At 42.8% G+C, this 27,339-nt stretch overlaps 2 protein-coding genes and 1 non-coding gene across 23 annotated transcripts in view, besides 6 other annotated features; 1 reads left to right on the top strand and 2 right to left on the bottom strand.

The window, feature by feature from the left end:
• The window catches only part of RNF170 (ring finger protein 170), a 47,663-nt gene extending 35,800 nt beyond the window's left edge, over positions 1-11,863 (bottom strand). For 6 of the 21 annotated variants that reach the window (NR_027669.2, NM_001160224.2, XM_006716405.4 and 3 more), the window contains exons 1-2: positions 11,048-11,169; positions 2,292-2,435 (exon numbers count right to left, since the gene is read on the bottom strand). Coding sequence is in view for 17 of the 21 variants with exons in the window: in NM_001160224.2 (NP_001153696.1) it covers positions 2,292-2,428 (137 nt within the window). In the remaining 4 variants the exon portion in view is untranslated. Of the gene's footprint in view, positions 1-2,291; positions 2,436-3,866; positions 3,979-8,516; positions 9,672-10,817; positions 11,170-11,803 lie in introns of those variants that run through there. The other 15 variants (XM_047422281.1, XM_011544666.4, XM_047422286.1 and 12 more) reach the window with 12 other exon arrangements.
• Positions 10,286-10,847: an enhancer, noted in NCBI's record as "NANOG-H3K27ac-H3K4me1 hESC enhancer chr8:42750865-42751426 (GRCh37/hg19 assembly coordinates)". NCBI's record gives its function as "activates a minimal SCP1, AML or CMV promoter by ChIP-STARR-seq in primed H9 embryonic stem cells {active_cell/tissue: H9 hESC(primed)}" and the evidence as "EXISTENCE:reporter gene assay evidence [ECO:0000049][PMID:30033119]".
• Positions 10,286-11,120: a biological region, named in NCBI's record as "NANOG-H3K27ac-H3K4me1 hESC enhancer GRCh37_chr8:42750865-42751426".
• Positions 10,754-10,965: a silencer, noted in NCBI's record as "fragment chr8:42751333-42751544 (GRCh37/hg19 assembly coordinates)". NCBI's record gives its function as "represses an EF-1alpha promoter that drives an FKBP-Casp9 reporter gene in an ReSE screen in K562 erythroleukemia cells {active_cell/tissue: K562}" and the evidence as "EXISTENCE:reporter gene assay evidence [ECO:0000049][PMID:32094911]".
• MIR4469 (microRNA 4469) lies at positions 10,761-10,839 on the bottom strand. The gene has a single exon (NR_039679.1). It is a non-coding gene; the product is annotated as a microRNA 4469 (primary transcript).
• Positions 10,761-11,120: a silencer, noted in NCBI's record as "silent region_19159". NCBI's record gives its function as "represses an Ori minimal core promoter by ATAC-STARR-seq in GM12878 lymphoblastoid cells {active_cell/tissue: GM12878}" and the evidence as "EXISTENCE:reporter gene assay evidence [ECO:0000049][PMID:35858748]".
• Positions 11,301-12,090: a silencer, noted in NCBI's record as "silent region_19160". NCBI's record gives its function as "represses an Ori minimal core promoter by ATAC-STARR-seq in GM12878 lymphoblastoid cells {active_cell/tissue: GM12878}" and the evidence as "EXISTENCE:reporter gene assay evidence [ECO:0000049][PMID:35858748]".
• The window catches only part of HOOK3 (hook microtubule tethering protein 3), a 133,558-nt gene continuing 117,760 nt past the window's right edge, over positions 11,542-27,339 (top strand). The window contains exons 1-2 of the mRNA NM_032410.4: positions 11,542-11,752; positions 20,737-20,822. Of these exons, the coding sequence (NP_115786.1) occupies positions 11,696-11,752; positions 20,737-20,822 (143 nt within the window). The 5' untranslated portion in view covers positions 11,542-11,695. The remainder of the gene's footprint in view (positions 11,753-20,736; positions 20,823-27,339) is intronic.
• Positions 12,101-12,160: a silencer, noted in NCBI's record as "silent region_19161". NCBI's record gives its function as "represses an Ori minimal core promoter by ATAC-STARR-seq in GM12878 lymphoblastoid cells {active_cell/tissue: GM12878}" and the evidence as "EXISTENCE:reporter gene assay evidence [ECO:0000049][PMID:35858748]".

Consider the following 27,339-nt stretch of genomic DNA (forward strand, 5'->3'; position numbering starts at 1 on the left):
CTGGATCATATGGTAGTCCATTTTTAACTTTTTGAGGAACCTTCATACTGTTTTCCACAGCAACTGTACCATTTTATACTCCCCAAAAAAGTGCACCACAGTTCCCTTTGCTCCACACCCTTGCCAATGCTTCTTTCATCTTTATTGTTTTCATCTTTTTGATAACAGCCATCCTAAAAGATAAAAGGTTTTTTCTCATTGTGGTTTTAATTTGCATTTCCCTGGTGATTAGTAATGTTGAGCATTTTTTCATAAACCTTTTGGCCATTTGTATGTCTTCTTTTGAAAGATGTCTATATAGGTCCTTTGTGTATTTTTATTTTTTTGTTTTGTTTTTTCTGAGACAGGGTCTTATTCTGTTGCCCTGGCTGAAATGCAGTGGTATGATCATAGCTCACTGCAGACTTGACTTCCTAGGCTTAAGTGATCTTGCCATCTCAGCCTCCAAGTAGCTGAGACTACAGGATGCACCACCACGCCTGCCTAATTTTAAAATTTTTGGTAGGCCAGGCACGGTGGCTCACGCCTGTAACCCCCCGATTTTGGGAGGCCGAGGTGGGCGAATCAACTGAGGTCAGGAGTTCGAGACCATCCTGGCTAACACGGTGAAACCCCGTCTCTACTAAAAATACAAAAAATTAGCCGGGCGTGGTGGTGGGCACCTGTAGTCCCAGCTACTCAGGAGGCTGAGGCAGGAGAATGGCGTGAACCCGGGAAGTGGAGCTTGCAGTGAGCCGAGATCACGCCACTGCACTCCAGCCTGGGCAACAGAGTGAGACTCGGTCTCAAAAAAAAAAATAATAATAATAATAGAAAAGGCCCAAGGACAGAGCCCTGCAGCAATATACAATGTCCTTCTATTTGGTGTATATTAAAACATTAGTCAGGAATCCTAAGAACAACCTGCTTAGTGGAGTTCACTTAACTCTGCTATCATCTAGTCATTATTTCCCCCATGATATCCACAGTGTATCACCAGTATCAATCACTCTGGATTATCACTCTATAAAATACCCGATTGAAATCAAGATAATGTTACCCTAATAAGAGACTATCTTGGATCACTGCAACCTCTGCCTCCCAAGTTCAAGTGATTCTCACGCCTCAGCCGCCCAAGTAGCTGGGATTATAGGCACCTGCCACCATGCCCAGCTAATTTTTGTATTTTTAGTAGAGACGAGGGTTTCACCATGTTGGCCAGGCTAGTCTCGAACTCCTGACCTCAGGTGATCCGCCTGCCTCAGCCTCCCAAGGTGCTGGGATTACCGGCGTGAGCCACCACATCCAGCCTAAATTAATTTTAGAATCAGGTGCAGTGGTGCATACCTGTAGTCCCAGCAACCTGGGAAGCTGGGATGGGAGGACTGCTTGAGTCCAGGAGTTCAAGTCCAACTGGGGCAATGTAGCGAGACCCTGTCTCTAAAATAAATAAATAGGCTGGGCATAGTGGCTCATGAGTGTAATCCCAGCACTTTGGGAGGCTGAGTCGGGTGGTTCACTTGAGGTCAGGAGTTTGAGACCAGCCTGGCCAACCTAGCGAAATCCTGTCTCTACAAAAAAATACAAAAAATTAGGGCCAGGTGCAGTGGCTCAAGCCTGTAATCCCAGCACTTTGGGAGGCTGACGCAGGTGGATCACCTCAGGTCAGGAGTTTGAGACCAGCCTGATCAACATGGAGAAACCCCATCTCTACTAAAAATATAAAATAAGCCGGGCATGGTGGCATGTGCCTGTAATCCCAGCTATTTGGGAGGCTGAGGCAGGAGAATCGCTTGAACCCCAGAGGCAGAGGTTGTGGTGAGCTGAGACAGTGCCATGGCACTCCAGCCTGGACGACACATTGAGACTCCGTCTCAAAAAATAAATAAATAAATAAATAAGTAAAAAAATTAATTCTAATATTAGTTCCCTTTTTACTATACAAGTCTTTTTTTGCCTCAATTTTTCCATTTAAAACTGAAAGTATTTTGCACTTATCATCTATATCACCTACAAGTTGATGGATTTAATTATGGAAATTAAAGTTTTTTAAATTGCCATACGCCAATAGAAAGTACTAATATTTTATTCAAAATGTGGATGATAAATTTAATTATTATTTGGTAAGACAGCTGATGACAGGAAATATATGTTAGCATTCAAAGCCCCGTGGAAAATAAAATACCTTAGTAAACATCTACAATCACTGAGATCTGTTACTTGCTGTTCATATTAAGTATTATACATTATTAGGGGTCAAAAAGTCAGCAGCCCTTGCAAATCTACTCAATTCTTTTGTCCTTAAATCTCACCTGAAAAGTGCATATACCAGGGTAGCAATCAAAGCGAAACTGACCACAACTGCCACAAGTACTTGGTCGCTTACTCCTTCTATAACTGAATCATCATCCAGTTTCAAACTTTGAACTTCACCTTGATATTTGGCCATTCCAGGTCTAAAATAAGAAGAAACAAGATGAGAGTTACAAATGACACAGTGAAAATGAAATATACTAATAAAAGCAATGTAAATATAACTGACTTCTAATATATTTGGTTTCTGATAGGCTGCAATTAAGTACAACTCCAGTGGGGACTGATGGAGTTCTTTAAAATTTGCCAGACACATTATTTTGTGGAGAACAAAATTCTATTTCTATTTTTTTTGGATGGAGTCTCTTGCTCTGTTGCCAGGCTGGAGTGCAGTGATGCGGATCTCAGCTCACTGCAACGTCCGCCTCCCGGGTTCAAGCAATTCCCCTCCCTCAGCCTCCCAAGTAGCTGGGACTACAGGCGCGCACCACTACGCCTGGCTAATTTTTTGTATTTTAGTAGAGACAGGGTTTCACCGTGTTAGCCAGGATGGTCTTGATCTCCTGACCTCGTGATCCACCTGCCTCGGCCTCCCAAAGTGCCGGGATTACAGGCATGAGCCACTGCACCCAGCCAAATTCTATTTCTTTTAAGGAAAACAATTACTATAATTTATCATTTATTTATGTATTTTTTAAAAATGTTTTTTCCTCTTCAAGCTTAACCCCTTTAAAAAAAAAAAGCCATTCTTGGGCCAGATGCAGTGGCTCACGCCTGTAATCCCAGCATTATGGGAGGCTGAGGCAGGCGGATCACCTGAGGTCAGAAGTTCGAGACCAGCCTGGTCAACATGGTGAAACCCCGTCTCTACTAAAAATACAAAATTTAGCCGGGTGACGTGTGCCTGTAATGTCAGCTACTCTGGAGGCTAAGGCAGGAGAATCGCTTGAACCTGGGAGGCAGAGGTTGTAGTGAGGCCCAGAGAGCGCCACTGTACTCCAGCCTGGGAGACAGAGCAAGACCCTGTCCCCCGCCCCCCAACCTCCCCACCCCCCAACCAAAAACAATAAATAAATAAAAGCCATTCTTATCCAACTGCTCTCTTCTTATTCCTGAATACCAAATAAGTTCTCTAAATAGATCAGATCCCTTTTCCCCCTCACAGCATGTGTATATCTTGTGGCATTTCCCATGTATTGATAGGAAAGGAAATATATTATAGTTTTCTGTAAGCATTCTCATATTCTCTAGCATATGCCTTGTACACAATAGGACCTAATAGATATCTGTTTAAATAAAAGTGACTTACCATACTTACAGTGTTGTAATTTGAAAAGTAAAAGACATTTAGGCTATAGAACATTTATAGCTATACTAAAACTACTTGAAATAATGAAAATTCTGGTGCTTGAAAAACTATTTGTCCACCTGAAACTAAGCTCAGCTTATGGTTCAGAATTCTTTGAACTGCTTGGAATATAGAATCACTCTGATGCTGCATTTCCTTATGAAGAGAAAAGGGAGGATAAGAAACTTTCCTTCCTACACTCTAAACTAGAGAAAAATGGTAGTACCTAATTCTATAGGTATGAGGGGAGATAGCCCAGCCACACTGGAGTCCAAATATCACAGGTAATTCACATTTTTTTCAGACAAAACAGGAAGTGTCAAAGTCTTATAAGACACCTAAAGAGAAATTAAGGAATATATATTCAATTAAATATATATGAATAATTAAAATAAAGTTCTGCATTTATGTAACTTATTGAGCTGAAAAAAGTTTTATTCAATATCATCACTAATCAGGTATTTTGAGTATAGACGTCTTAATACCTTTGAAAATCATCTGAACTGGCTGCAAGAAAATTACCACTCATGGAAGAAACCTACGCAAACAGATGAAAGGCAGCTTTCATCAGCTTTACACGGACTAATCGCCTGATATATGGAACTTTTAATGACTGGTTTCAAGTAACTATTACGAAGGTGCACACCAGGAAACTCACAGAAACAGCTCTAATTGCAGTATTTTCATTCAAAAGAACAGTTAAATGAGCTGCCAACTGAACTGAAGAGCCTCAAATAAGCTAGGGGTGGGCCACGGAGTCAATTTAGGTTTTTATTTCATCAGGTTTCCTCTCTTAAAATTAGAGGTGCTGTAGCTGTTTCAAAAGTCCTAAGGGCACTGAGAACTACTTGCATCTGCTCAAAGATAACCCAAATGTTATCCCCTGTGTCAAGATTTCCAACCTCTAATTACCTCACAGAGCTGTGAAGGTTAAAACAAATGAACAGAGGTGAAAGTGCTTTGTAAGTTAAGTCTATCAACAAATGCATTGTAATTATTCCTACTCACATTTTCCTCTATGCTATACATTTAGGCCGTTTATTATTTTGTACTTAAAAAAATGCATTGCATTTGTTTCTATGTCCTTCAAGGTGCAATCAATGGTAATGCGAATAAATTATACTGTACAACATATATATAATATATATTATATATAAATATTTGACTACTATGTGATTATATTCTTTTTTTTTTTTGAGACTTTTTTTTTTCTTTTTTTGAGACGGAGTCTTGCTCTGTCGCCCAGGCTGGAGTGCAGCAACGCGATCTCGGCTCACTGCAAGCTCTGCCTCCCGGGTTCTCGTCATTCTCTTGCCTCAGTCTCCCGAGTAGCTGGGACTACAGGCGCCCCCCACCACACCCGGCTAATTTTTTCTGTTTTTAGTAGAGATGGGGTTTCACTGTGTTAGCCAGGATGGTCTTGATCTCCTGACCTCGTGATACACCCACTTCAGCCTCCCAAAGTGCTGGGATTACAGGTGTGAGCCACTGCACCCGGCCTGTGATTATACTCTTAAGATATTGCTTCATGTACATTTCCAAGAGCTCAGAGATCCAGGATATTTAAGTATTGCATGTCCATATTATTTTATTTGCATCATTTGACAGCAGATATTCTCAGCGGTGTTGAGAGGAAAAGGGAAGGGCACTGCATTTTCTTGTCCCATGGAAATCCCAACAAAAGCCAGGCTGTCAAATGGAGATCTACTAATGCCATTTGACCTGCTTGTTGGGGGCTTCGACAGCACAACTTCTGCCATAGTTTCTCATAAAATTGGAGTAAAAAAGCAACTGCAGGTGCTAGTGGCTCAAAAATGAGGTATTGTACCATCACTTCAGTTTGGAAAGAGGCTGGTCTGATTTATAACTCCAGAAGATAAACAGGAAACAAAATTTCCTACTTGGGGAGATGACATAATACCTCAGTCCTGAAAATGAATTCCAAAATCAAGGACTTCTGTTCTCCAACTTTTGTTGTTCACAGTCAGTGATTATCCAGAACTAAACAGTGCTGCTGATTCTGTCCAACCATACAGGCTCTAAACTGAAGCCCAAGCAGTTGTTGCTTGGACATGAGGAGCCCTGAATTTTAGTTCCAATTCTGTTACAACAACTGTGTAAAAGTAAATAAAATTCAAACGTTTTTAGAACCTCCAAAGCACCTTAAGCCTTGAAAGAGATATGACTATGATCTGGGTCACGTAACATGTTTACAATTCTGTTTCTTAGATTTTTAGCTTAACTCTTCCTCATTGTTCTTGTTCTATAAACAACTAAAAAAAGACTAAGTCTTTTTTTTAAAAGAGACCAGATCTCCTCCTTCTAATTGCTGATTTTTATTACAGATTAACTGCCTCCTTTATTGTCCTGTACCTAACTCAGACCAGATGGTGCCCCAAACAGGGGTCTCATGACAGTTACATTCTTTCTTCCCTAAAAAACGCACCTTGACTAATCAGATCATTATAACTGTACATTAAGCCTTACATTAAGATATTAAAATTCTGTTAAATGTCCCTAAATTTTGTCTATATAAACAATCCCAAATGTCTATACTGACGAGCACTGACTTCCATGCTTTTAAATCTGTCCTTTCCCAGGTGGCCTGTCCTCAACCTTTACACTTAAACTCTCTTTAAACTCGATTTTGACCTTTTAAATTATTTTAGGTTAACAACTGTGACTTTATTTCTTCACTTCCTTCTACTGCTAAATTTCTCTGATTCAGAGTTTCGGAATAGAGAAAAAGCCACATCAAAGCTAACATTAGAGTGGTTATCAGTGAGAAGCTGGACTGGCAAAACCAGACCATCACCCTCCCTAGGACACAGTTTCACAGTTTCAATTCTTTCAAGTATGAATTACTTTAACAAGAAAAATAAAGCCAATACTTGCTTCCTCTCTCGATATGCAAACTGAGCTTCAATGCCCGGTCAATGCCCATTCTCATCTACCACCCAGTCGCTCAGTTTCCTGACGGTGCCTACTCCGGAGGCACCTACACTGACCTAAGTGGCATGACTGGCATGTCAACTGCTAAACACTCTCACTACACCACAAATTTCCTTCTTGAAAAACAGATATTGCTCAAATTAATGTTTATAAATTTTTAAAATTTATTTTTTGAGACAGGGTCTTGTTCTGTCACCCAGGCTGGAGTGCAGTGGTGCACCCTTGGCTCACTGCAGCCTCGACCTCCCAGGCTCAATCAGTCTTCCTGCTGTGACTACAGGTGTGCACCACTAAGCTCAGTTAAATGTTTTATTTTTTGTAGAGATGGGTTTCACCATCTTGCCCAAGCTGGTCTCCAACTCCTGGGGTCAAGGAATTTACCCACCTAGGCCTCCCAAAGTGCTAGGATTATAGGCGTGAGGTAGCACGCCCAGCCAAAAATTAATGTTTATTGGTGCCAAATATTTACAGAATCCACAAGTGACTACAGTTCAGTTTTAGAATATGTAGATACTGTGCTCAATTGCTTCACCCTCAAAATTTTATTATTATTAATCACAGAATGTTAAGCACTTAGTTCCAAGCATATAAAGTAATATCTTACTGGATTTATTTTTTCATGTTATTTGGAGGCTCTGTTGCAGCGTTTTTTTTTTTTTTTTTAAACCCTAGATTCAGGCCAGTGCTGTGATTCACGCCTGTAATCACAGCATTTTGGGATGCCAAGGTGGGTGGATCACTTGAAGCCAGGAGTTTGAGACCAGCCTGGCCAACATGGTGAAACGCCATCTTTACTAAAAATACAAAAATTAGCCAGACGTGGTGGCACACGCCTGTGATCCCAGCTACTCGGGAGGCTGAGGCATGAGAATTGCTTGAACCTGGGGGGCAGAGGTTGCAGTGAGCCAAGATCGCACCACTGCACTCCAGCCTCGGTGACAGAACAAGACCTTGTCTCAAAAAACTGCCCAGATTTGATCATTACACATTGTACATATTTGTATAAAAATACCACAGGTACCCCATAAATATGTACAACTATTATACATCTATAAAAATTAAAAATACATTTTTAAAGAATGAATTCCTTTCAGTCAGGAATCATATCTTATTACTGTTAGTAGTGCGCAGGGTCTTACATGTTGTAGTGGCCACTAAAGGTTGTTTACATTAAACCCAAAAACAAGGTTATTAAATGTATAGAACATGGGATGTAATCTATTTCATGGTATCCTGTAAAATATGAAAAGAAGAGTTACTAATACTCGGTTTTGAACTGTTTAAGATTCACAAAAACTGAACCCCATCCATCTTGGAAACTGTGCAGTGTAACTGATAGAAGTTTGCAGAGAAACTGGCTTTGCTATTGCTCAGCTGGCTACATCTTATTGAGCAGTATCTTCAGACAGCAAACAAGCACAAGTTCCAGAGTCAGACAGCCCTGGACTTACATAAAGTTTCAGTCTCAGCTTCCTCATACGTAAAAGGCATTAGGTTGAACCATATCAAACTGCCACTCTTTTTTGGGGCGGGTGTGGCAGGGGAAGTGCTTTGCCTTGTGAAGTTTATAATGAGATAATGAAGGTAAGGCATTTAGCATACTGCTTGGCACATCATATAGGCTCTCAGTAAATGGAAGCTACAGTGTTTGGTTAATATTATTAACAACCGCCAAGGAATCATGATAAAACTAGCCATGTTTTGATATGATAAAAACTAGCCATGCCTGCCCCAGAGCTGCTCCACATAGCATCTCAAACTCTCTTTAATCACAGCTCTAAGTATGTGTTCCCTGGGAAGACAGGATGCAATCTGGAGCACTGTCACACAGGACATGCCCTCTTTAATCTGATAAGCAGCTGTGGGTGAGAACTAGCCTCCAACTAACCGGAGTAACCAGACAGCTAAGACAAGTTCAACTCACCTCTCCTCAGGCATTTCCAAAGCTTTCAGGGAAGGAAAAAAAATAAAACACACAGAGAAAATAGAAAAATAGGAAATTCCGGGACTTCCTGGAACAAAGGAGAGAATCTCAGTGTCTTTTTACCCCAAGGCTTACGTAGAAACTCAGCAGCCACATGGCTTCTGCAATTACTCACATCCAAAAAGTTTTTACTAATTTCTTTCATCAAAGGTAACTGGAATTACAAAATGAAACCTCCAGAACAACGTAACATCATGCACAAAAGCACTGTGGATATGCAGCCAAGCTTGAAAAAGGAGACTTTAGGTCCATTGTGTCAAAGCCTTGAAAACCGGGGCCACTGGAGGAAGGGTGCTCAGGACGGCACAACCACAGTCGCTCCAGTAGGGCCAGCATCTTATCTGCCCATCTAAAGACAAGCTGCATGTGAGTCAGGAGTAAGTCAATGTGACATATACTCACTGACTTCATTCACTTGCCTACAAGATTATACGTCACTTAAAAGTGCTAGAGATTCGACAGAAATAACCTGATAAGGAATGTAGGAACTCTAGTTTGACAAATATCCAGAGGCACCAACACAGGAACCAAACACAGGCGAGACACACATGTGTAATTTTTTTTTTCTTTTGAGACAGATTCTCGTTCTGTCGTCAGGATGGAGTGCAGTGGCGCGATCTCGGCTCACTGCAACCTCAGCCTCCCGCGTTCAAGCGATTCTCCTGCCTCAGCCTCCCGAGTAGCTGGGACTACAGGAGCCCGCCACCACGCCCGGCTAATTTTTGTATTTTTAGTAGAGACGGGGTTTCACCATGTTGGCCAGGATCTCTTGACATCGTGATCCGCTCGCCTCGGCCTCCCAAAGTGCTGGGATTACAGGCGCGAGACACCGCGCCTGGCCACGTATGTGTAATTTCTAAAGGTTTCTCTGCCCTTGGTGTAGGGAAGAATGTTTGAAAAAAAGACCATTGAGAATACTTCAGGTAAGTTTTTTTTTTTTTACACTTACAAAATGCTAAATGATCAGGGGTCAACTATCAAGTGGTACTCTGTAAGGCAACCTTAAAAACTCACTGCTGACCCAGGCTCGGTGGCTCACACTTTTGATCCCAGCACTTTTGGGAGGCTAAGGCGGGCGGATCACTTGAGCCCAGGAATTTGAGACCAGCCTGGGCAACATAGCGAGACCCCCTCTCTACAAAAAATAAGAAAATTAGCTGAGCATCGTGGCCTGCACCTGTGGTTCCAGCTACTTGGGAGGCTGAGGTAGGAGGATCACTTGAGCCCAGGAGGCAGAGGTTGCAGTGAACCAAGATTGCGCCACTGCACTCCAGAACGAGACCCTTTCTCAAAAACCACCATCAACAACAACAAAAAACCCCACTCAATGCTGTCTTGGCAGTTTTCAGTGCTCAATGAGAAAACCTACTCTTAATGGAAAAAAAGTGGGGGAAAGGGGTTCCAGGAACTACAAAGCAAAGTGTGTCTTGGGAAGTTAGCTTTGTTGCACTCCAAATAAAAATTTGGCATTGGGTGGTAGTTATGCATACTCTACGCATCGACAATTCTCTAAGGACTCCAAAGTGCATGTCCTGGAAATTCCAACATATTTGCACTACGTTCCAGGTACACTAGAATGTTTATAGCCATGTTCTGAGTGGCCTCAGTCTGAACAAAATGCCCAACCAGAGTAGAATGGATTCACTGTTCTATTCACACTGGAATACTAGGCAACAATTAAAATTACCTATACATACACAGTACACCAATTTAATACTGATTGAAAACCACAAAACAACACACTGTGATCCACCCGCAAAAGTTCAAAAACAGGCAAAGGAAAACGACATCGCATGCACACATAGATGGTAAAGCTGTAAGGAAATGATCACACTAGTCAGGCTAGGAGACAATCAGGCTCCGAAAGGAGCACAGGGCATGGGTGAGAAACTCCTGGGGTGCCGGTAATGCCCTTTTCGTTTTTATCTGGGTGTTTTATTAATTCTTCTTTAAACGTGTATGTCGTATGCACTTTTCTGCGTATGCTATATCTGTTAAAAATTTATCGGCAGCCCAGCAGACAGATTCGTGCCTCTAAAGAGGTGGAAGCTCCAGAACGATCCGCCTCGCCATTAAGCGAAGGCAACTCCGAACGCTGAGAAACGCAGGCCCGGGGTCGGCCGGTGTCCTTACGGATTGGCGAGCGGGCGCACACCCCTCCTGCATTAAGGAGAGTTCTCAGGGTCACGCTCCGAGCGACCCTAGAGGGAGCGGCGGTGTCCTCGCCGCCGCCAAACCCACCTAGAGCCGCTCTCCGCGTCGGCCCCTCCACCGTCGCCGGCGACTCCGGACAGCCGCGGGGCGATTCTGGGGCTTCCAGACGAGGGAGGGGCCCGGGGGGAAGGAGGCGGCGACTCCCGCCGCCCCGCAGAGCCTCGGCGGCCAGAGCTACCCCAAGAAGGCCAGACCCCGCCGTCCGCGGCTCCGCGGGCCCCGATAGGGTGGGCGTGGCCGCCGCGCGCCGGACGTACCTCTCCACCGCGAAGGAACTACCTCGCCAGTTCCCGGCGACAGAGGACAGATTATTTCCAGGACCGCTCCCGCCACCCCTCCCGGGCAACCCACTAGACGTCCCCTTTCTAATTTGGAGTGCGGGTGCGGGCGCACGCGCACTGCCGAGCTTCCGCGAGGGCGCGACCGGACGGCGGAGGAGGACCCGTCGCCGCAGCCTCCAGGGCGGAGCGCGTGCTCGCCTCGACACGCAGCGAACTGGTGGCGGGGGCGCGCCCGGCGGCAGCGGCGGCGGCGGCGGCGGCGGCGGCGGCGCGGCGGCGCGGGTCGGCCGGGGCGCGAGCGTGCGCAGTGGCTCCTCGGCCTCGGCTCCAGCCAGGGCGGCGGCGCTGGGGAGGAGCGGTGTGGGCGGCCGGGGGCGGGGACGCGGGGCGGCGGGCGTGTCCGAAGTCGCGCGCGGCTGGCGCGCGGTCCCGAGTGAAAGGAGAAGGAGGGGCGCTGGGGGTGACGGTGCGGAGCCGCTGCCAGCGCTGGGCGAGAGTCGGCGGCCGGATCCGAGGAGCAGGCGGGCCTGAGGCCGAGTCAGCTGCGCGGGCCCCCGGATCCCCCGACAGAGCGGCGGCGGTGTCTGGCCAGGCGGTAGGCGCTGCCTGGCCGCGGCGGGGAAGATGTTCAGCGTAGAGTCGCTGGAGCGGGCGGAGCTGTGCGAGAGCCTCCTCACTTGGGTACGTGGGGGCCGCGGGCCGGCGGGAAGACCCCCTCCCCCCGCCACCTACCGGGACCCTCCACGCGCGGCCCGTGGGGCGAGCGCTGCGGGCGACGGTGCCGTCACATCCGGGGCCTGGGGCGGGCGGGGCGAGGAGGCTCGGCCCAGGGTCCGAGAGAGACTTGCCGGGCCTGAGGCGTCGCTGTTCCGGGCGGACCCCGGCCGGGGCTGGGCTGGGAACGCGGCGGGCGACTCTGGGATCCGTGCGGCTGCTCGCAGCTGGGGCTGCGCTGCGCTCTGGGGGTGGCCGAGCCTGACTGCCCCGCGTCCAGGACCCGCCGCCGCTCCTCGCCTTTGTTGCCGCGTTCGCGGAGGACGGGCCCGGCTCCGGCCCGGGAACTGAAAGGACCTGTGAGGGAGCGTGGGGAGAATGCGGGAGGCGCCCGGGGACCCCGTTTCGGATGCAAGGCACCGCTGGCGGTGGGAGTGCGCGAGGGGCGGACGCCTGTCAGAGGCGTCGGGCAGACGTTTAAAGGAGTCTGGAGGTGTCTGGGCGTCAACAATGGAACTCGAAGGCCTTGGGGGACAGAGTCGTGGGATTCTGATTTTGAATTCTTAAACGGTTTTAGATTCCTCATACTTTGAAGTAAATACATGTTCACCTCTCACGTCAGCTGCCGCGCCTTCCTGAAGCCGGGTCTTCAGGACGCGGCAGGGGAACCGACGCCCGGGTTCCAGTCGTTCTCGCCGCGGCGCGGCCGGGGAGGGGGAGGGATGCGCAGAGCCCGGGCGGACCCCGCGCTGCCTTCGGGAGCCTCCGTTTCACTCATTGCTGAGAATGTTAATTAAATGTTTACGGATGTGTTTATGAAGGCTACTACAGCATTTGTATTACTTTTAAAGGTAAAACACGAATGTGAGAGAAATTCTCTTTAGCGGTGTCTTGGGTTACGAGTCAGGATCCCTGGAGTGTAGACGTCACGATCCTGTGCAAGGCACTTTGCTGGAAAGGCTGGAGAAGTATTGCCTTACGTTGGTTGTTAAAAAAATTAATAAAAATAGTCTGAGGTTTTTATAGTTTGGCTACGTCACGAATCAATTTCTGTCCTCTGAAACAGACTTGGTAGAGCTTGAGTAGCCAGTTGCATATCAGACCATTTAGGGGATTTCAGATCGTTAGCAGTAGTATGTAGTTAGCGTGCAGCTTACCCTTCTGATGAGTTCTCCCTCCAGGCAAGGAGATGGCTTTCACTGCTGTATTTCAGAAAAGAGGAAGACTGGTAAGTTGTATAATGTGGCTGAGGTTTCTGACTAGGCAGGGGAGAGAGAGAGAGGAAAGAATTACTAAATTCTTTGATGTTGTGGAAGGAATAGATTTGGCAGAATCTGTACATCTGTAAACAGAATGCTGAGGAACTTAAGATTTAAGTTTTTGAGACTGTGCAAGTAGTGCTTCCCTTTATGCTAGAAGAAGCAGCCAGAAGGCAAAGATGAAGCTAATTGAATCTAAGTAGGGCTACATTGTTTAAAATCTAGGGAGAAAGAAGACATGGAAATAAAGAGGTGTACAGAGGCTCCTTAACTTGCGATGGGGTTACATCCCGGTAAACCCATCATAAGTTGAAAATACCGTAAGTTGAAAATGCATTTCATACGCCTAACCGTCCAAACGGTAGCTTAGCTTGGTCTACCTTAAACGTGCTCAGAACACTTACCTTAGCCTACAATTGGGCAAAATCATCTACCACAAAACGTGTTTTATAATAAATTGTTGAATATCTAATGCAATTTATTGAACACTGTACTGAAAATGAAAAATATAATGGTTGTATGGGCACTCAGAGTATGGTTTCTACTGAATGTGTATCTTGCATCATTGTAAAGTTGAAAAGTCTTAAGTTAAACCATCCTAAGTTGGGGACCGTCTGTATTTGAAGGGTATCCACAAAATATGGTAGGTAGTAATTGCATTTATTTAAGTGAGAAATGCTGATAAAAATATACAGGAGAAATCTTAGAAGTTTGAAGGCCTGCTGACAGAACCTGACAACATGAGAGAATCTATTTAGAATCTCCTAAAATGTCAAGAAAACGAGTAATCCACATTATCAGCTGTAGAGAGGTCAGGGAGTATAGTATTGTAGAATAGGCTTTTTGAAATGTCACTGGAAACTCATCAATGAGAATTTCTGGATAAGATTAGAGATTATCAGTGACAAAATTGGAGGGCAGTGTTCATGAAGATGTACAGTTCTAAAATTTGGAAACACTTTAAAAGACATGTTTCAAAATAGAGTTTAAATGCTGGGTTTGTTCTCTTTTAGCTGTCATTATAAAAAGCAGAATAAATGTTTCAATGAGCAATGTTTGATGACATTTAAATGTATAATATCACCCCTCCTATCTGTAAGCCAGATTAATGCTAAGCACAATTCTAAAACCAAATGCAAGCAAAAATGTACACATACACTCCAAAGAAAAGACTCATTTAGATTAGTTTTCTTGATTTTATGTCAGCTTCTAGTCAGTTTGGTTGTGTGGGGGGTTTTGCTCTCACACAGTAAGCTAGAAGGTGACTGACACTCAGCAAAATGCAGACAACTGTCAGTGACAGACAAGATCTAAGAGCTGAATGATTCCGTCTTTGGGATGACAGCCTTATGTACTTCTAGAGCCTCCCTGTTCAAGTTTTGAAGATCATAATTATATTCCTGAGTATCAGATAAAAGTTTGTTTTCACTACATAGCATTTAGTTTGAGATTGGAGAGATGTATATAGTACATTTTAGAAATTATTCCACTAGAAATGGCTAAAGTAATAAAAGCTCAAGTACTTAAAGGGATGATTCTGTCACCTATACAGAACTCAATGGAACGTCTCATTGCCTCATATGCTAGATAAATTGCCCTTTTATCAGACAGCCTACTAGCCCAAGAACCATATGTTCCAAATTTTTTCGAAAGAGAGAGTTACAAAAAGAGTTAAGTATCATCTTACCAAGGGGAAACATCTTAAGCTTAAATTCCAAATCAAAGTTTATGCAAACAAGTTCAGCAGGACATGCTTGAAAATTTCCACTGTGCCTCCTCTCTCCACCCTCTGAGTCAAAATTTGCCCTGCCAATTACACCTGTGAAGCCTAATTTCTTGAACTGTATGTGAATCTCGATGAAAAGATAGCACTTTTCCAGGTTTTAGAGACTGAAAAACGAAGTCTACAATGCTACCAAGTTATGACAAAAAAAGTCATCACATAGGCTCGGTACACTTTGGGATAACCTAGCAACATTAATATGTCCTTATTGTTTTCATATTACTTATTTGGCAGCCTATAAAATGCATACTAGTATATAGAATTGGGGGTGGTATAATTATTATGGTGGTATCTCCCCCATTCCATTCTCCTCTGCCTAACTCGATTCTGCCAACAATTTTTGTCCTCTAATGGAAGAATAAGTCACTGATGTACAAAAGTTAAAGTACTTAAAAAGATAGTATAGCATAAGAGTACATACAGGTTCTGACATTAGGCAGCCTGGGTTCAAATCCTAGTTTTGTTCTATACTAACTGATGTGACTTTGTAACTTCACCTCTGTGTTTTGATTGCATTGATATTTAACTTTATGTTTGCTAACTTCACCAGAGATTCTCATGCTTTAGTGTTGATCTGCATCATCTGGAGAGCTTGCTAAAACACAGATGCCCAGAGTTGCTAGTTCTGTAGGTCTGGGCTGGGCCTGAGATTTTGTATTTCTAATAGGTTCCCAGGTGATGCCATTGTTGGTGACATAGGGACCACATTTTGAGGACCATGGCTCTAGAAAATTATTTGACATTTTGCGCTGGACAGTTCTTTGCTGTGTGGGCACTGCACTATGCGCTATGTTTAATAGTAGCATCCCATTGCCTCAACCAGCTAGATGACAATAGCACCCAACTCACAGCCAAAAATGTCTCCTCGGGAGCAAAATTATCCATTGCTCTAGAGATAGTAATTCCAGGTGATCTCATGCTTTACTCTTCTCATGCTTTTGTTGGGGAGGGGGAGGTAGAGGTTGGGTGGTGGTAATAGAGCTTCTTGGAATTAAAAGAAAGATTATAACCCTTCAGGTAGAGTTTCATGCCTTAATGCAGTTAAGTGCAATTGTCTTTCAGTTTTATTGTACTGCTATCCTGAAATAGATGTTAGCTCAGAGAACTGGTATGTGACAGATTTTTAAAAATTAAGGTACGGTTTACATACCCATAAAATTCATCCTTTTAAAGTGTATAATTTTTTTGGTTTTTAGTATGATCACAAGATTGTGCAGTCATCATGACTATCTAGTTCCAAGAACATTTTCATCACCCCAAAAATAAACTAGGGGATAAATTTTCTTTAGGATCTGTTTCACTTTGGTCTTGCAGCAGAGGTGGACATCTCTGACCCTTATGAGCAACTATGTACCTCAAGGGCTAATACAGAGAAAATAATTGAATAAAGCCATGTTTTAAAAACAAAAATGAAAATTTAGCTTCCCTAAATCCCAAGAGAAAAAAACAAATCAAGTCTTTTTTTGGAGGTGGAGTCTTGCTCTGTTGCCCAGGCTGGAGTGCAGTGGCACAATCTCGGCTCACTGCAACCTCCACCTCCTGGGTTCAAGCAATTCTGCCTCAGCCTCCCTAGTAGCTGGGATTACAGGCACGCACCACCACGCCCGGCTAATTTTTGTATTTTTTAGTAGAGACGGGGTTTCACTATGTTGGTCAGGCTGGTCTTGAACTCCTGACCTCAAGATCCACCCGCCTCGGCTTCCAAATGTTCTGGGATTACAGGCGTGAGCCACCGTGCCAGGCCCAGATCAAGTCTTAACAACTAAGTTACTTGCTTTTTTGAATTACCTGCTTTGTTGAGTTGCTTCTTCTGATTGGCCAGAGGCTGTTTTCCAATCTTGCATCCCTTCCCTTTCATAGTGCTTTGGATCATAGGATTCCAAATGCCAAACCAGTGCCCAGCTGTGTAAGAATTATTTGATGAACTTGTTAAAAATAGATCCCCAGCTTCCTACACACAGATTCTGATTCAGTAGGGGGAGCCAAGAAATGTGTATTCTCTCTCTCTCTCTCTTTTTTTTTTTTTAAGACAGGGTCTCACTCTGTTGCCCAGGCTGGAGTGCCGTGGAGCAGTCACAGCTCACTGCAGTCCCGACCCCCCAGGCTCAAGTGATCCTCCCACCTCCGCCTCCTGAATAGCTGGGACTACAGGCGTGACCCACCATACCCAGCTAATTTTTGTATTTTTTGTAGAGACAGAATTTTGCCATGTTTTTCAGCATGGTCTCGAATTCCTGGGCTCAAGTGATCCTCCAGCTTTGACCTCCCATAGTGCTGAGGTAACAGGTATAAGCCACCACGCCCTGCCAAAATGTGTATTTTCAAACCCCCCCAGATGATTCCCCTACACACCAGGTTTGGGACCATTGCTTTAGACTTTGCAAAATACCTCATGGGCATTCATTTTCTCATTCATTCTGAAGCAACACACCCTTCTATAGGCTATTTTTCCCCAATCTTTCTTTATATGGAAAAACTGATATTGAGAGAGATGAAACATCCTGTCTAAATTTACAGGGCAAAACTAGGGATTAGAATTAGCTCCTTTCATTCAAAGTGGCGTCCACTGAGGGCTTGTTCGTATCAGGCATTGTGCTGAGGTCAGTGATAAAGAGAAGAATGAGACATAGTCCTCACTGCTGCCTCTATTTTTCCTTCTAAACAAACCTACAAGAAAGATTGGGTTTTCTTTTTTGAAAATGGGCCATTGACTTGGCAACTGTAGAATGGAAGCAAGTGCTTATTTCTTTTAAGTGCTTATTTCTTTTACTAATGAGCAGGCAGCTGGAGATAGTATGGAGTAAAATTCAAAATCAGTTCCCGCAGATGGTGTTTATTTGTTTCATGTATTCATTTACTAATCATTTATTGCACCTCTACCAGGTGTTTGGTTTGTGTCAGGGCAGCTTGGAAGGATCCTCTTATCAGCTTTCCCAAATAGACACTTAAGTAAAAACTTGCTATGAGGATCTTTAAGATAATTCCCTGGGCCTCTACCACCATAACCGTCTCTACCTGCAAAACTCTCCTGTATTATATACAAAGAAGCTACTGACTGTACTGTTAATAGTTGTCTTTTTTTTTTTTTTTTTTTTTTTTGAGACGGAGTCTCGCTCTGTGGCCCAGGTTGGAGTGCAGTGGCGCGATCTCGGCTCACTGCAAGCTCCACCTCCCGAGTTCCCACCATTCTCCTGCTTCAGCCTCCCGAGTAGCTGGGACTACAGGCGCCCGCCACAGCGCCCGACTAATTTTTTGTATTTTTAGTAGAGACGGGGTTTCACCGTGTTGGCCAGGATGGTCTCATCTCCTGACCTCGTGATCCACTCTCTTCGGCCTCCCAAAGTGCTGGGATTACAGACATGAGCCACCGTGCCCGGCCAATAGTTGTCTTTTAAAGATTTGATAAATGAGGTCGGGCGTGGTGGCTCAAACGCCTGTAATCCCAGCACTTTGGGAGGCTAAGGCGGGCGGATGACGAGGTCAGAGATGAGGACATCCTGGCCAACACGGTGAAACCCTGTCTCTACTTAAAATACAAAAAAGTTAGCCGGGCATGGTAGCGGGCGCCTGTATTCCCAGCTACTCGGGGGGCTGAGGCAGGAGAATGGCGTGAACCCGGGAGGCGGAGCTTGCAGTGAGCCGATATCGCGCCACTGCACTCCAGCCTGGGCGACAGAGTGAGACTCCGTCTGAAAAACAAAACAAAACAAAAAGATTTGATAAATGATACGGTGCGGAGAAGTAGCCACTCACCCACCGTTAGTAAGAGAATAAATTGCTACAGTATATATTTAGGGCAGTTTGACAGTTTTATCAAAAACCGTAAAATGTTCATACACTTTTTGACCTAGCAGTTTTACTTCTTTTCTAACCCAATAAATAAAAATTTGTGTGAAGACATATGGTCACCTGAGTGTTATTCCCAGTATTCTCATTGTCTGTACTGAGTTTAGCTTCATCCGTGTTAGTATATAAACCTACTCAAATGGGTCTTCCTGTCTCTTTCCCTCCACTCCTTCCTTCATACTGCAGCCGGTATGATCTTTTTTTTTTTTTTTTTTTTTGAGACGGAGTCTCGCTCTGTCGCCCAGGCTGGAGTGCAGTGGCATGATCTTGGCTCACTGCAACCTCCGCCTCCCGGGTTCAAGCGATTCTCCTGCATCAGCCTCCAGTGTAGCTTGGACTACAGGTGTGTGCCATCAGGCCTGGTTAATTTTTTGTATTTTTAGTGAAGAGACAGGATTTCACTGTGTTAGTCAGGATGGTTCTGATCTCCAGACCTCGTGATCCATCCGACTCCGCCTCCCAAAGTGCTGGGATTACAGGCATGAGCCACCGCCCCCGGCCAGATCTTATATTAATACAATGCAAACCTCATGGCTCACTCCCCTGGTTCAAATCCTTTGCTTACTTTATTCATAGAATAAGGTCCTAATGTGGCTTCTAAGGTTTTACATGTTAATTCTTCAGTTTTTTGCCCTGTCTTTCACCGTTTTAATTCTCCCCTGTTCTGTTTCTTCCTCCAATTCTTACCCCTACTCGATCTGTACCAAGCTGCTCTTCATACCTAAATTGCATCCCACTCTCACTTCTCATCTTTATGCCTGCTGTTGACACTTCTATTATACTGTTTCATTTTTCCTAGTTGTAAGTTCTATGAGAGGATGGCCTGTGTCTGTCTGTTCTCAGGGATTGATTTCCGTCTAAATCCTGAGTACACTACTGGGTAGCTGGCTCAGCTACATTTTCTTACTTTGAGAGAGAATTTATACTATTAGGGAAAGTACATTTCTTGGCTACATCATGTTGATTAGTACAAAGTTTCAGAATATATTTGAAATCAAAATGAAGTGAATATCTAACCTAACCATTCTAAGTGTGACTTCTACATCTGTGTAAAGATATTTGGCCTCCGAGTAACAGAAACTGCAACCTCACCAGATGTAAAGAATAAATGAATTCATCTCACATACCGGGAGGCATCAAGATTTTTAAATTCAGTAGTTCAGTTTTTACCTTTAGGACATAGTTCTTTTTTTTTTTTTTTCCTGTTTCTTTTTTTGGGGGGGGGGGTGCCGTGGTGGAGGGGATATAGTTCTTTCTAGCTCTTCTCTCTGCCTTTCACTGCATTGGCCTAATCTTAAGATGATTGCCTTTGTAGTCATGAGATGACGGCTCACAGTAATGGAGGCAGCATACTTAAATCAACAGGAGATTGGCTTTTCTTTCCCAGAAGCATCTCCTTATCTCTCTTTAGTCCAAATTGTCTTTTCCCTGTGTGTCCCTGAGTCAGTCACTGGTAGAGGGGATGAACGTGCCGTGATTTTCATAGATTGATCTTGTGTGAGTAGAATGGATGCTGGGAAGCCACCCAGTATCCACCACGATTTCTCTTTTACCAGTGGGGAAGAATTACAGTAATACTTGGCAGGACATTTCCCTTAAAGGCAAAAGTTTCCAATTAGACTTCTTTTTAAAATTTATTCCAATCCCTAAGATGAGATAATCACCAAAAAAAAAAAAAAGCCTAAGAAATTTTCAGCCAGGTGCGGTGGCTCACACCTGTAATCCCAGCACTTCAGGAGGCCGAGGCGGGCAGATCACCTGAGGTCAGGGGTACAAGACCAGCCTGGCCAACATAGTGAAACCCTGTATCTACTAAAGATACAGAAAATTAGCAGGGCGTGGTAGTGCGTTCCTGTAATCCCAGCTACTTGGGAGGCTGAGGCAGGAGAATCACTTGAACCTGGGAGGTGGAGGTTGCAGTGAGCCAAGATGGGGCCATTGCACTCCAGCCTGGGTGACAGGGCTAGACTCCGTCTCCAAAAAAAAAAAAAAAAAAGGCCTAAGAAATTTTCTACAGAGGTAACCACAGAATCTCTCCCCCCCCCCTCTTTTTTTCCCTTCAGATCCAGACATTTAATGTGGATGCACCATGCCAGACCGTGGAAGATTTAACGAATGGGGTTGTGATGGCCCAGGTTCTTCAAAAGATGTAAGAATAAATTGCTTATCTTTATGTGTATTCTTATGCATGGATATTTGTTAGGTTGAAAACATGGATTAAAAAAGTACTTACATGAAACGTGTGTAGAGTAAGAGTTGTAGGCGGCAGCAGCACTAGTTTTAATGGAATGTACTTATTAGGTATAGATTGGGTTGCAAGTTTAATAAGGGCTGTGATTGTGTTAGTACTCTAATGGTTTTAGCAGAATTATTCTTGTATTTTTTGGCATATGCTTGGCAGAAATTTTCTTGTTAGTGGCCAGATTTTGCTGTTACAGGGGTATCTAAGATGCTTACTCCATTTTTCTTTAGGATTTTGCTGAAATATCATCTCATCAGTGGCACCTGCCCTGAGTACCCATATAAAATAGCAACGACAATTCCCTTATACTTTCTATCCCACTTAAGCTTTTGTGTTCTTCTTTCAAGTTTGTGACACCATCTGATATACCATATATTTGGTTGTTCATTCATCTGCCCCAACATCCCCAAACACATATACACAGAATGTAAACTCCACATGGAGCCAGGGAATTTGTTTTCACTGTTGTATCCAAGCAACAGGCGAATGCGTGGTTTTATGTTGAACCATATGAAATTGCTCTTCCTTATAGGTCAAAATGATCAAAATCAGCAGTTCCTCCTAGTTTAATATGCATTGTGGGTGTTTATGTTTGTTGAGTGACTAAAGGAAGGAGTATTTGGGATAAATAAAGCATACCCAATTCTTCTGAGTACTTTGAAAACATAATAGTTATGAAATTGATATTATATGACTATCAGCTTTTGACCTAGGAATTTTTTAAAATAAAGGATTATGTGTGAATTTAAGAAGTCATGGAGGGTTTGTTGTAATTTGCAGATACTTTTATATTTTGAAGCCCTGAACACTTGTCAGCCTGATGATTTTAAAAGATTTACATGTCACTAGCTGGGTTGCCCTGCATTTCTGTTGAAAATCAGTGTCATTATTAAATGAATTATTGGTTTTCTTTGCAATTAGCTACATAGAGTTGCCATAGAGCTCAGATGCCAACATTTCAGATTATCTGTCTCTTTGCCTTTAGAACTGGGGACTCGTGTTTGAACATTACAGCTTGTTTTTACTTTCTTCTATAACTTAAAATGCATGGTACATTTTTCCAGATATATAGGCACACAGATTTTTTAATGAAGCTCAAGAAGGCTCATTGGGAACCTGGCCTGCCCTGGTTTGAGCACTCTGAGAAGAGTCATCTTGTCATTTTCATGGTCCCCTCTGAGTGGTGCCCTAATTTTAGCTTTCCCATTGTCTAGAACGTTTCACTCTAGAAGTTCTTAATAAAAATTGTTTGAGACTGTGGGCCTAGCTAAGTGAACTTTACAGGTGTAGTTCAATACATGATTTTTTTGCCTAAGCTAGTTTGAGTAGGATCTTTATCACTTAGAGAAACCAGAAGAAAGAAAGTATATATATATATTGTTTCATCAAAACAAGATTTCAGGAACCAGACAAGGATGTCGACTCTGCCAGTTCTGTTCAACAGTCTTTACCGGAGCAACGAGGCAAAAAAAAAAAAAAAAAAAAAAACAGTAAAAGGTGTCTAAATAGGAAAGGAAGATGTGAAATTATCACTGTTACCTGACAATGTGACGTTACATACAAAAAGCCACAAAGACTCCAGAAAAAAACTATTAGACCTGGTAAATGAATACAGTAAAGTTGCAGGATACAAAATCAACCTACAAAAAATCAGTAGTGTTTCTAAGTACTAACAACAAACTATCTGAAAAAGAAATCAAGAAAACAATACCATTTATAATAGCTACCAAGTAAAATAAAATACGTAGGAATACATTTAACCAACAAGGTGAAAGAGCCATACATTGAAAACTGTAAAACATTGATGAAAGAAGTTGAAGTCTGCAATAAAGGAAAGATACTCTGTATTCATAGATTAGAAGAAGAATTGTTAAAATGCCCATACTACTGAAAGTGATTTGCAGATTCAATGCATTCCCTATAAAAACTCCAATAACCTTTTTCACAGAAATAAGAAACAAACCTAAAATTCATATGAAATGACAAAAGACCCCAAATAACCAAAGCAATCATGAGAAAAAGAACAAAGCTGGAGAAATCTCACTACCCGATTTTAAACTCTGTTGCAAAGCTGTGGTAATTAAAACACAGTGCTGGCATAAAAATAGACACAATGACCAGTGGAACAGTATAGAAATTCCAGAAAGGAACCCATACATCTATAGTCAGTTGATTTTCCACAAAGGTGCCACAAACACCCAATGAGAAAAGGACAAGTCTCTTCAGTAAAGGGTGTTGGGAAAAGTGGATATCTACATGCAGAAGAATAAAGTTAGACCCTTATCTCACGCCACATGCAAAAATCAATTCAGAATGGATTAAAGACTTTTAAACATACCTACTGAATTTGAAAAACTACTGTAAGGAAACATAGGGGGAGAGCTTCTTGTTATTGGTCTGGGGGATGATTTTTTGAATTTGACCCCAAAACAGGCAACAAAAGCAAAAACAGACAAATGGGATTACATCAAACTGAAAACTTTTGCATGACAAAGGAAACAAGCAACAGAGTAAAGAGACAAACTACAGATTGGGAGAAAATATTTGCAAGCCATACATCTAATAAGAGGTTACTATCCAGTCTGTATAAGAAACTTAAGCACCTGAATATCAAGAGAACAGATAACTGAATTTAAAAAAGCATGAAGGACTTGAATAAACATTTTCAAAAGAAGATATACAGATGGTTAACAGGCATATGAAAAAATGCTCATCACTGATCACCAGGGAAATATAAATTAAAACCGCAATGAGGTGTCACCTCACACCTATCAGAATGGCTGTTATCAAAAAGATGAAAGATACGTGTTGGTGAAGATGTGGAGCAGAGGGAACCCTTGTACACTGTTTTTGGGAATGTAAATTAGTACAGCCATTATGGAAAACTGTACAAAAAGCTAAAAATAGAATTACCATATGATCCAGCAATCCCACTTTTGTGTATATAGCCAAAGGATTTGAAACTGGTATGTTGAGGAGATACCTGCACTTCCACATTTCTTGCAGCATTATTCAAGGTACCCAATTTATGGAAGCAACATAAGTGCCTATTAGCGAATGGATCGATGAGAAAGATGTGGTGTATATGTACACAATGAAATACTGTTCAGCCTTTATTAATTGATTGATCGAGACAGGGTCTCACTCTGTCACTCAGGCTGGAGTGCAGTGGATTGACCAGGGCTCACTGCAGCCTCAAACTCCCAGGCTCAGATGATCCTCCCACCATAGTCTCCCTTGTAGCTTCTGGGAGCACAGGCACGCACACACCCAGCCTTTTTTGTTGTTGTTGTTGTAGAGATGGGGTCTCACTGTGTGGCCCAGGCTGGTCTTGAACTCCTGGGCTCAAGCAATCCTCCTGCCTTGGCCTGACAAAGTGCTGAGATTAAAGGCGTAAAACAACATGCCCATGTCCCCAAAGAAGGAAATTCTGTCATTTTCAACAACGTGGACAAACCTGAAGGACATTGTGCTAAGTAAATAAGCCAGGGACAGAAAGACAAACACCATCTCACTTATGTGGAATCTAAAACAATTGAACTCATAGAAGCAGAGAGTAGAATGGTGTTTACCAGAGGCGGGGGGCCGAGGGGAATGGAGGAGATGATAGTCAGAGGGCATGAAGTTTCTGTTAGGAGGAATACATTTTTTTGAGATTTATTGCAAAGCATGGTGACCATAGTTGTTAATACTGTGTATTTTGCAATTCTGAGGGAGCAGATTTCAAATGTTCTCACCATAAAACATAAAAATTTGAGGCAATGGATACTAATTAGCTTGATTTAATGTGTCCACATTGTATACGATATCATAACATCAGTTTTGTACCCATAAATATAGTTTGTCAATGTAAATTTTGAAAATTTTTTTTCATGAATTGAAGTAAACAAGATCATAATATACATTGTGTTTTGCAAAGTGGTCTTTTCATTTACCAAAGTCTTATGGGCATATTTCTTATTGATACTTAGTTTTCAGTCTTTCTTTCTTCCTAGAATGCCTTCCTTTTTTTTTCCTTTTGTTGAGATATGTCACACACAGAAGAGCATTCTACAAAGAGTGATAATTTTGCATATATGTTTTGCGTATCTCCTATAACGTCCACTCAGATTGAGATACAGAACTTTCCAGCTCCTCGCTACTCAATACCGCTATGCCAAAGATAGCCATGATTCTGACTTCAGTGCCATTAATTAGTTTTGCCTGTTGTTGAATGTCTTGTAAGTAGAATCATACAGTATGTACTCTTGTGTTTGTCTTAAAGTCAACATAATGTCTGTGAGATTTATCCATATTGTTACACAGTATCTATTTTAAATAGTTGTATGATGTATACAACCTCACCAACATTGATTCTTTCTTTGTCAATTTGATATTTATTGAATGGCTACTTTGTGTCCAGCATGGCTGATAAAACTACCAGCCACATAGACATGGTGTCCACCCTCAGGAGGTTGGTAAGTGGGGAAAACATTTTAATTAACTAAGAGAACAAAACTGTTGTAACAAGTGGTACAGAGAAGTACACAATGTTACGAAAGTTTACACAAGGTATATTTTTAACTCGGTTTAGGAGGTCATGAACATTTTACCTGACAAAGTAAAGGTAATTTAAATCTAAAAGTCACAGATTTCTTCACGGAGGGAAGAGCTTACTCAAAGGCCCTGCAGGATGGTGGAATATGGTGAGCACTGCTATGGAAAGGAAAGGTGCGAGTGGTTACTGCACAGAGAGGGTGGGCATGGTACAGATCAGGATGAAAAGGTAGATGGAGCCAGACCATGCAGAGCTGTGTCTTTATTCTAAGAGCTGTAAGAGGTCGGGTGCGGTGGCTCACGCCTGTAATCCCAGCACTTTGGGAGGCCGAGGCGGGTGGATCACCTGAGGTCAGGAGTTCAAGACCAGCCTGACCAACATGGTGAAACTCCGTCTCTACAAAAGTACAAAAATTAGCCAGGCATGGTGGCGCATGCCTGTAATCCCAGCTACTAGGGAGACTGAGGAAGGAGAATTGCTTGAACCGGGAAAGTGGAGGTTGCAGTGAGCCGAGATTGTGCCATTGCACTCCAGCCTGGGCGACAGAGTGAGACTCTGTCTCAAAAAAAAGACATAATCTAAGGGCTATAAGAAGCAGTTGAAGGCTTTGGCGGTGGGTGGGGGGATTAACAAATTGGATTTACATTTTGAAAAATATTCTGGCTGCAGGTATAAAATGAATTGGAAGAGGCCAGGGTGATGATTAGTTAGAAAGAAATTTGTAGTAATTCAGAAGGAAGATAATGGTACCTTAGACTAGGAGGTGCTGAAGAATATGAAGACAAGTGGGTGGACTCAAAATGGTATATAAAATCAGCATATTTTGATGGTTGGTATGTGGGGGAGTTGACTTTTAGGTTTTTAACTTAAGCAAATACACTGAAGACAGTATCCACCGAAGAGAGTATAAACCACTGATATTGGAACACTGAAAGAAGATCTGCTGTGGAAGGAAGCTGGATGTGTCATGAGTGTAGTTTGGGGGACATCAAATCCGAGTGGTATTGAAAAATCAAGAGGAAATGTGAAGTTGACAGTCTAGAGTTCAGAAGAGGAGTCCAAACTGGAGATATCTATTTGAATATCCTTAATTGAAGCTGTAAGTGTGGATTAAATCACTTTAGGGGAGAATATTGGGCAAGAAGGAAAAAATGTGTACCCTGAGCCTTGAAGTTTGGCCTTTAATTGTTGGGTAGAGGAGCAACTGGCAGAGCAGCCAGAGGGGTAGGAGGAAAGCCAGGTGAGTGTGGGTGCCAAAAAGAGGATTTTACTGGAAACATCAGTCCTTCTCATTTTGTCTGAGCTGACAAGTGAGAAGCTACATCATTTTGTAGTTTTAGGAGAAATTTGAAATGTGAATGGATCTAAGTATGCTTTTTGTTAGTGTAAGTTTTTATATCTGTTTGGTCTTTTAAGTTGTTTTGTTTGTTTTATCTGATTTACAGCCTTCAAAATTTTATTGCTGTTGACATCTCTCTTTGTCTATGTAGATTCATTCATGTCTCCTACTTAGGTTTTTAAAAATTGATAGACTTTTTAAGAGCTGTTTTACCTTCAGAGCAAAATTGAGTGGAAAAGAGTTTCAATATGGGATGGTGAAAAAGTTCTGGAGATGGGTGGTGGTGATGGTTGTGCAACAATGTGAATGTATTTGATACCACTGAACTGTGCACTTAAAAATGGTTAAAATGGTAAATTTTATGTTGTGTACATTTTACAATTTTTAAAAAGTTTTTAAAATATCAGCAAGAAAATACAGTGAGTTCCCACATCCTCCTTGCCCACCACACACTCCTTGCCCACCACACACTGCCTTCCCCCACCACAATGGTATATTTGTTACAATAGATAAACCAGCACTGGCACATCAATACTGCTCAAAGGCCG

Source organism: Homo sapiens, chromosome 8 (genome assembly GCF_000001405.40).
Source record: "Homo sapiens chromosome 8, GRCh38.p14 Primary Assembly".
Classification (NCBI taxonomy): domain Eukaryota; kingdom Metazoa; phylum Chordata; class Mammalia; order Primates; family Hominidae; genus Homo; species Homo sapiens.